The following is a 9,691-nucleotide window of genomic DNA, read 5'->3' as shown; positions in this document are numbered from 1 at the left end:
TTAGAGGATATTCTTATAACTCCTACTTGAAGATTTGAGACAGCATATCATTTATTCATTGTTATGCTAATTACAAGGGACCGTTTCACTGGAGGGTTTTACCAAACATTCAAAGTCAAGGTAACACCAGTTTCATATATCACTTCCAAAAAAGAAAAAAGCATGTTATAGGACCAACAGGTTCATATACTGCTGTGCAGTAGACCAATTACACTGAGACAGCAGGGTTTGCAGAGAAAGTTTAATGATCATAGTGCATCAAGTGAGGAGATGGGAGGAGACCCTCAAATGCATCTCCCTGAGGAGTTCTGAGCTGGGGTTTTTAAGAGGACTGTGGAGGGTGAGGGGTTGGAAAATTAGGGTTGTTGATTGGATGGGGTATGGGGGATGAAATCATCAGGATGTAGAAACTGTTCTTTTGAGTCAGCTCCTCATGGGGTCCTTAAGACCAGCTGAGTCAGTAGCTGCATCAGTATACAGGACCTGAAGCAGTCTCCCAAAAGGAAAACGTAACTTGAACATCATGAAACTCTATCTATAGAGCAGTTAAGGGAAACTACAGGGTCTACACGACTACAGCACAACAGGCACTATGCAGCTCAGAAGAAGCGTCAGAGAGCAGCTGACCTCATGATGAACGCCGAGTGGGCTGCAAGCTGGGCATATTTTGTTTCTCCCTTCTCTTCTTCCCTCATTAATTTATCAAGTTTATAGGAACTGTTTCAGGCCGGTCACACTTCTCAATGGATTTGAGGAAGCCAGTATTACCTGGAGATCAAAGCTAGAAAGAGAGCACAAACACAAAAAAACACTAAGTTCTTGAGAGATGTTAGTCTACAGATATAAAAATTCTCACAACATTAACAAATGCAACCCAACAATGCACAAAGAATAGTATCCCATGATCAAGTGGTATTTACTCTAGTTATGTAAGGTTGTTTTTAACGTTTTAAAATCAACTGGGTATGGTGGCTCACGCCTGTAATCTCAGCACTTTGGGAGGCTGATACAGCCAGTTCACTTGAGGTTAGGAGTCCAAGGCCAGCCTGATCAACATGGCAAAACCCCGTCTCTACTAAAAATACAAAAATTAGCTGGGCATGGTGGCTACTTCAGAGGCTGAGGCAGGAGAACCACTTAAATGCAGGAAATGGAGGCTACAGTGAGCCAAGATTGTGCCATAGCCCTCCAGCCTGGGCAACAGAGTGAGACTCCACCTTTTAAAAAAATTTTTCCATAAGTTATTGGCGTACAGGTCGTATTTGGTTACATGAGTAAGTTTTTTAGTGGTGATTTGTGAGATTTTGGTACACCTATCACCCAAGCAGTATACACTGCACCATATTTGTAGTCTTTCATCCCTCACCCCCATTCCACACTACCCCCCAAGTCCCTAAAGTCCATTGTATCTTTCTTATGTCTCTGCATACTCGTACCTTAGCTCCCACATATCAGTGAGAACATACAATGTTTGGTTTTCCATTTCTGAGTTACGTCACTTGGAATAATAGTCTCCAATCTCATCCAGGTCACTGCAAATGCTGTTAATTCACTCCCTTTTATGGCTGCATAGTATTGCATTTTATATATATACTACAGTTTCTTTATCCACTGATTGATTAATGGGTATTTGGGTTGGTTCCATGATTTTGCAGTTGCAAATTGTGCTGTGATAAACATGAGTGTGCAAGTATCTTTTTGAAATAATGACTTCTCTTCCTCTGGGTAGATACTCAGTAGTGGGATTGCTGGATCAAATGGTAGTTCTACTTTTAGTTCTTTACGGAATCTCCACACTGTTTTCCATAGTGGCTGTACTAGTTTACATTCCCACCAGCAGTATAGAAGGGTTCTCTGTTCACTGCATCCACGCCAATATCTACTGTTTTTTGACGTTTTTATTATAGCCATTCTTGCAGGAGTAAGGGGGTAATTGTGCTTTGGGTTTGCATTTCCCAATCATTAGTGATGCTGAGCATTTTTTCATGTTTTTTGGCCATTTGTATATCTTCTTTTGAGATTTTCTATCATGTCCTTAGCTCACTTTTTGATGGGATTGTTTGTTTTTTTCTTACTGATTTATTTGAGTTTGTTACAGTTTCTGGATATTAGTTCTTTATCAGATGTATAGATTGTGAAGATTTTTTCCCACTCTCTTGGTTGTCTGTTTACTCTGCTGACTGTTCCTTTTGCTGTGCAAAAGCTCTTTAGTTTAATTAGGTTCCAGCTATTTACCTTTGTTTTTATTGCATTTGCTTTTGGGTTCTTGGTCATGAAATCCTTGCCTAAGCCAGTGTCTAGAAGGGATTTTCCAATGTTGTCTTCCAGAATTTTTATAGTTTCAGGTCTTAGGTTTAAGTCTTTAATCCATCTTGAGTTGAGTTTTGTATAAGGTGAGAGATGTGGATCCAGTTTCATTCTCCTACATGTGGCTAGCCAATTATCCCAGCACCACTTGTGGAAAAGAGTGCCTTTTCCCCACTTTGTGTTTTTGTTTGCTTTGCTGAAGATCAATTGGCTGTAAGTATTTGGGTTTATTTCTAGGTTCTCTGTTCTGTTTCATTGGTCTATGTGCCTATTTTTATACCAGTACCATGCTGTTTTGGTGACTATGGCCTTATAGCATAGTTTTGAAATCAGGTAGTGTGGTACCTCTAGATTTGTTCTTTTCACTTAGTCTTGCTTTGACTGTGCAGGCTCCTTTTTGGTTCCATATGAAATTTAGAATTATTTTTTTCTAATTCTGTGAAGAGTGATGGTGGTATTCTGATGGGGATTACGTTGAATTTGTAGATTGCTTTTGGCAATATGCATTTTCATAATATTGATTCTAACCATCCATGAGCATGGGATGTGTTTCCATTCGTTTGTGTCATTTAAGATTTCTTTCAGCATTGTTTTGTAGTTTTCCTTGTAGAGGTCTTTTGACTCCTTTGCTAGGTATGTTCCTAAGTATTTTATTATTTTTTTTTGCAGCTATTGTAAAAGGGGTTGAGTTCTTGATTCAGTTCTCTGCTTGGTCGCTGTTGGTGAATAGAAGAGCTACTGATTTGTGTACATTAATCTTGTATCTGGAAACATTGCTGAATTCTTTTATCAGTGCTAGGAGCTTTCTGGAGGAGTCTTTATGGTTTTCAAGACAAATGATCATATCGTCAGCAAACAGTGACAGTTTGACTTCCTCTTTACTGATTTGGATGCCCTTTATTTCTTTCTTTTGTCTGATTGCTCTGACTAAGACTCCAGTACTATGTTGAAGAGGAGTGGTGAGAGTGGGTATCCTTCTCTGGTTTTAGTTCTCAGAGGGAATACTTTCAACTTTTCCCCACTCAGTATTATGTTGGCTGTGGGTTTGCCATAGATGGCTTTTATTATATTGAAGTATGTCCCTTGTATGTTGATTTTGCTGAGAGTTTAATCATAAAGGGAGGCTGGATTTTGTTGAATGACTTTTCTGCATCTATTGAGATGATCATGTAATTTTTTCTTTTAATTCTGTTTATGTGGTCTATCACATTTATTGAGTCGTTTATGTGAAACCATCCTGCATCTCTGGTATGAAACCCACTTGATGATGATGGATTATCATTTTGATATGTTGTTGGATTCAGTTAACTAGTATTTTGTTAAGGATTTTAGCATCTATATTCATCAGAGATATCAGTCTGTAGTTTTCTTTTTTGGTTATATTTTTTCCTGGTTTTGGTATTAGGGTGATGGTGGTTTCATCAAATGAATTAGGGAGGGTTCCTTCTTTCTCTATCTTGTGTAGTGTCAGAATGATTTGTACCCATTCTTCTTTGAATGTCTGGTAGAATTCTGCTGTGAGTCGGTCCTGGACTTTTTTGTGTTGGTAATTTTTAAATTACCATTTCAATCTTGCTGCTTGTTATTGGTCAGTTCAGGGTATCTAATTCTTCCTGATTTAAGCTAAGAGGGTTGTATTTTTTCCAGGGATTTATCCATCTCTTGTAGGTTTTCTAGTTTATGTACACAAAGTTGTTAATAGTGGTCTTGAATGATCTTTTGTATTTCAGTGGTGTCAGTTGTAATATCTCCTATTTCATTTCTTAGTGAGGTTATTTGGATTTTCTCTCTTCTGTACTTGGTTAATCTTGCTAACGGTCTATCAATTTTATTTACCTTTTCAAAGAACCAGCTTTTTGTTTCATTTATCTTTTGTATTTCCTTTTGTTTGTTTCCATTTCATTTAGTTCTGCTCTGATCTTGGTAATTTCCTTTATTCTGCTGGGTTTAAATTTGTTTCATTCTTGTTTCTCTAGTTCCTTAAGGTGTTACCTTAGATTGTTTGTGTTCTTTCAGACTTTTTGATGCAGGTGTTTAGGGCTATAAACTTTCCTCTTAGCACCACTTTTGCTGTATCACAGAGGTTTTGATAGGTTGTGTCATTTTTGTCATTTAGTTTGAAGAATTTTTTAATTTCCATCTTGACTTATTTTTTGGGTCAGTGCTCATTCAGGAACAGGTTATTTAATTTCCATGTATTTGCATGGTTTTGAGGGTTCCTCTTGCAGTTGATTTCCAGTTTTATTCCACTGTGGTCTGAGGAGCGCTTGATATAATTTCAATTTTCTTAAATTTATTGAGGCTTGTTTTATGGCCTATCATATGGTCTATCTTGGAGAAATCTCCATATGCTGTTGAACAGAATGCAGTTGTTGGATGGAATGTTCTGTATGTAGCTGTTAAGTCCATTTGTTCCTAGATGTAGTATAAATCCATTGTTTCTTTGCTGACTTTCTGTCTTGATGTCCTGTCTACTGCTGTCAGTGTAGTATTGAAGTCCCCCACTGTTATTGTGTTGCTGTCTGTCTTATTTCTTAGGTCTATTACTAATTGTTTCATAAATTTGGAAGCTCCAGTGTTAGGTGCATATGTATTTGAGATTGTAGTATTTTCCTGTTGTACAAGGCTTTTTACCATTATATACTGTCTCTCTTTGCCTCTTTTTACCATTGTTGCTTTAAAGTTTGTTTTGTCTGATATAAGAATAGCTACTCCTGCTTGCTTTTGGTGTGCATTTGCATGAAATGCCTTTTTCCACCCCTTTACTTTAAGTTTATGTGAGTCCTTATGTGTTAAGTGTGTCTCCTGAGGGAGCAGATAATTGGTTGGTGAGTTATTATCCATTCTGCAGTTCTGTGTCTTTTAAGTGGAGCATTTAGGCCATTTACATTCATTGTTAGTATTGAAACGTGTGTTACCATTGCTTTCATCATGCTTTTTGTTGCCTGTGTACTTTTGTTTTTTTGATTTTGCTTTTTAACTTGTATTTTTGTTTTATAGGTCCTATGTGATTTATGCTTTAAAGAGGTTCTGTTTTGATGTGTTTCCAGGATTTGTTTCATGATGTAGAGCTCCTTTTAGCAGGTCTTGTAGTGGTGGTTTGGTAATGGTGAATTCTGTCAGCATTTGTTTGTCTTAAAGTGACTATGTCTTTCCTTCATATATGATGGTTAGTTTTGCTGGATACAAACTTCTTGGCTGATAATTCTTTTGTTTGAGGAGGCTGAAGAGAGGTCCCCAATCCCTTCTAGCTTGTAGGGTTTCTGCTGAGAAATCTGCTGTGAATCTGATAGGTTTCCCTTTATAGGTTACCTGGTGCTTCTGTCTCACAGCTCTTAAGATTCTTTCCTCCATCTTAACTTTGGATAACTTGATGACAATGTGCCTAGGCAATAATCTTTTTGTGATGAATTTCCCAGGTGTTTTTTCTGCTTCTTGTATTTGGATGTCTAGGTCTCTTGCAAGGCCAGGGAAGTTTTCCTTGATTATTCCCCCAAATATGTTTTCCAGACTTTTAGAATTCTCTTCTTCCTCTGGTACACCGATTTTTCTTAGGTTTGGTTGTTTAACATAATCCCAGACTTCTTGGAGGCTTTGCTCATATATTCTTATTCTTTTTTCATTGTCTTTGTTGGATTGGGTTAATTTGAAGATCTTGTGTTCGAGTTCTGAATTTCTTTCTTCTACTTATTCAATTCTATCCCTGAGGCTTTCCAGACCATTTCTAAAAGTGTGTCCAATGTTTCCTTAATTTTTGATTGTCTTTTTTTTAAGCTATCTATTTCCATGAGTATTTCTCCTTTCACTTCTTGTTTCTTTTCTTTTTCTTTCTTTTTTTTTTTCCTTGCATTGGGCTTCACCTTTCTCTGGTGCCTCCCTGATTAGCTTAATAACTAACCTCCTGAAATCTGTTTCGGGTAAATCAGGGATTTCTTCCTGGTTTGGATCCATTGCTGGTGAACTAGTGTGATTTTTTTGGTGGTGTTCAAGAGCCTTGTTTTGTCATATTACCCGGGTTGGTTTTCTGGTTCCTTCTCATTTGGGTAGGCTCTGTCAGAGGGAAGGTCTAGGGCTAAAGGCTGTTGTTCAGATTCTTTTGTCCCACAGTTGTTCCCTTGATATAGTACTCTCCCCCTTTTCCTATGGATGTGGCTTCCTGTGAGCTGAACTGCAGTGATTGTTATCTATCTTCTGGGTCTGGCCACCCAGAGAGTCTACCCAGCTCCGGGCTAGTACAGGGGCTTGTCTGCACAGAGTCCTGTGATATGAACTGTCTATGAGTCTCTCAGCCGAGGATACCAGTGCCTGTTCTGGTGGAGGTGGTGGAGGGTGCAATGGACTCTGTGAGGGTCCTTAGCTTTGGTGGTTTAATGCTCTATTTTTGTTCTGGTTGGCCTCCTGTCAGGAGGTGGTGCTTTCCAGAAAGCATCAGCTGTAGTAGGGTGAAGAGGGACTGGTGGTGTGTGAGGCCCTAGAACTCCCAAGATTATATGCCCTTTGTCTTCCACTACCAGGGTGGATAGGGAAGGACCATCAGGCAGGGGCAGGGCTAGGGATGTCTGAGCTCAGATTCTCCTTAGGCAAGTCTTGCTGCAGCTGCTGTTGGGAATTCGGGTGAGATTCCCAGGTCACTGGAGTTGTGTACCTAGGAGGATTATGGCTGCCTCTGTCAAGTCTTGCAGGTTGGCAGGGAAGTGGGGGAAAGCCCGAAGTCACAAGCCTTACCTAGCTCCCATACAAACTGAAGGGCTGATCTGACTCCCACTGTGCACTGCCCAACAGCCCCAAGTCTGTTTCCAGGCAGAGGGCAAGATAGGCTTGAAAACTTTCCTGAGGCTATCTGCCTCCCATCTGCTAGAGAAAAGGGCTTTAGTTCTTCCCTGGCCTGTGAAGTCTGCATGCCCGATCTTGCCCTCCCCTGAGTTCTAGCCAGGAGGCTTCTCACACCATTCAAATTGTTACAAAGTTCGGCTAGAAAATTCCTTCTCCTTGTGGAGTTTTACCCCCTGCTCCTCTGGCCACCCTCCCAATGGATCCCTGTGGTGCCAGGCAGGAATATGCTGCTTGGGGACCCAGTGAGCTCCCAGGGCCTTTCTGCTCCTTACTATACCTCTCTAGTTTGCTTGCCTCTCTAACGTGACTCAGATCCAGGTAACATTGGAAACTTCTCCTGCAAAAAGACCTTCAGCTTCTCCACTGGGGGTGTGTGTTCAGGAGAGGAGGTGTCCCTTTCCCACTTCTGCTGTTGGGGCACTCACAGTATTTGGGGTGTCTCTCAGGTCCTACAGGAGAAGTCTGCTTCCTTCAGAGGGTCTGTGGGTCCTCCTGGGATTGCTGGTTTGTTCTTGCAGTCAACCTGAAGTTAAAATTCGCAATGCAAGCTTCTGCATGCTGCTCTGTCCAGAGCTGCAATCTAGTCCTGCCTTCCGTCTGCCATGATCCCCTGAATCCTGAGAGTCCATCTTTAAATAAAAAGAAAAAGAATCAGTTAATGTAATCCACCATATCAACAGGCTGAGAAAAATGGACCCAGGAAAGCATTTGATAACATTCAACACTCACTGGTGATACAAACTCCCAGCACACTAGGAAGAGAGAGGAACTGTCTGAGCTTTGTGAAGAAGACACAAAATCTATAGCTGATCTGTAGTCTGTAATGTATAGCCTCATCTGTGCTTTCCTTGAGGCCCTTCTGGTCACTACTCTGATACCTGTGTTTACCTGTGCCCAGGAGCTCTGTGGCATCTTGCATAAGTAACAACATCATCCTTGCATCTGGACAGACTGGTGCAAGTAGCACATTATGATGATGCATCTCCGTTTTCTCATGACATGAGGAGCAATTTCACAAAGTTTTGAGTATTTCTTACGTTACAATGGAAAGAGAAAGCTGGAGCTAGGGTTTTCTTATCAAGGTTCCTTTTTATAAACCTACCTGTGGGATTCTGCCTTGTCTGGTCTGTGTTAGAAGGAAAACTGTGTGGTGCATGCGGTTTGGCCAGTGTTAACCGTGGTCTGGAAGCCCACCTGGCAGTGGTGAGATGAACACGAGGCATTGAAAGAATGAATAAAGAATCCTCTATGTTTTCTGCTATCTTTACAATGACAACAGAGGCAATGGTGGAGAGCAATGAAATTATTAAGATATACATCTTCCTAGCTAACCTGGTGAATTTAAGAGTGTTCTACAAACCAGCCCAAAAATCTGAGGAATCTGAGAAGCCGAAGAAGAGGATCACGAATCCAATTTCTCAAAAAAAAAAAAAAAAAAAAAGGGACTGATGAACAGAAGCCATGTCTGTGTCTCAGGTGTGTCTGTCTCTGTGTCTCATTGCCGTGAGACAAGATGGTGGATTCCTCACGCCATCACTCCCAGACCCAAGGCTTACATACCATAAGGAATGAATGGTTCAGAAGGGTTGTGTAGGACATCTGAAGTATAATAATGTTAAGGTTGTTTGATCCAAGGGCAGGATTTATAATAAATAATTGCTCTTAAACAAAGAATGATAGGTAAGTTAGAAATCCTAGCGGCTTCCTGGAACAAGGGTTAATCAAAAGCCAACACAACAGATCAGCATCCAAAATGCAGTTCTTTGGCCTCCACACTCTACCTCCTATTTGCTCTTACATTATCATGTGTCCTCTTCTTCCACAGTGGTCCCTGAACCTTTAGGGAGGGTACCTGATATTGTATAGCTTTAGCAGCAGTACAAGGGCAATAATGAGCCATTCATGCAGAAGGGGCCCCCTTTAACTAGAGCATTTACCATGACCTAGGTAATAGACATATTCAGTGGGTGAATATTCAGCTTATCATAAAGCCAGTCCTTGCATGTGAAGCATATCAGCTTCTTCATCTGTTGTGCTCCACTAGGCATTTATAGAATGAACTGGACAGTTCCCCTTCTCAAGGTAGGCAGACAATTTTATCCAGTGGCTTTTATCTGGTCTACCATGCTGGCTGTTCTCTTGGGAATACCTGTGTATCTGGATCATATATATACACCCAGCTGTGTTTGTTCAATAGTGAGCCGTGGGTCCTGTATCAACCCAAACATGCTCTTCTACTCTGCAGCACTTAAAAATCAAAGACTTTCACAATCCATTTTAGTAAAGGTTCCTCAGCAAGTTGATGAAACCAATCTGTAAAATGGAACACTCCTTCACACTATACCCTCTGGTTTCAATAGTTACTTGTTTTTGCCCAACCCCCACATAGACTACCTTCTCAGTAACCGTAGATCTCAGAGGCTGTTTTGTTTCTGGCATAATTTTCTATATGGTGAGCTTTGAAGTTAGTGACCTGAGCTCACACAGGCCTACATCTGAGCTGGGTCCATCCTCAAGGCCCAACGCAGCACATTCTTTTTATTTTCATTTT

The 9,691-nt window shown here is 40.5% G+C and overlaps 1 long non-coding RNA gene across 1 annotated transcript in view, besides 1 other annotated feature; it reads right to left on the bottom strand.

Moving 5' to 3' along the window:
- Positions 1–227: 227 nt before the first annotated feature.
- The window catches only part of LOC107985449 (uncharacterized), a 57,505-nt gene continuing 48,041 nt past the window's right edge, over positions 228–9,691 (bottom strand). The window contains exons 2-3 of the long non-coding RNA XR_001754537.2: positions 7,566–7,769; positions 228–781 (exon numbers count right to left, since the gene is read on the bottom strand). This is a non-coding gene — a long non-coding RNA (uncharacterized LOC107985449). The remainder of the gene's footprint in view (positions 782–7,565; positions 7,770–9,691) is intronic.
- Positions 7,163–8,362: an enhancer, noted in NCBI's record as "MED14-independent group 3 enhancer chr20:22946709-22947908 (GRCh37/hg19 assembly coordinates)". NCBI's record gives its function as "activates an origin of replication core promoter dependent on BRD2, BRD4, P300/CBP and CDK7 cofactors, and independent of MED14, by STARR-seq in HCT116 cells {active_cell/tissue: HCT116}" and the evidence as "EXISTENCE:reporter gene assay evidence [ECO:0000049][PMID:35650434]".

This window comes from Homo sapiens, chromosome 20 (genome assembly GCF_000001405.40).
Source record: "Homo sapiens chromosome 20, GRCh38.p14 Primary Assembly".
Classification (NCBI taxonomy): Eukaryota; Metazoa; Chordata; class Mammalia; order Primates; family Hominidae; genus Homo; species Homo sapiens.
This window is presented reverse-complemented; position numbering and strand designations above follow the sequence as displayed.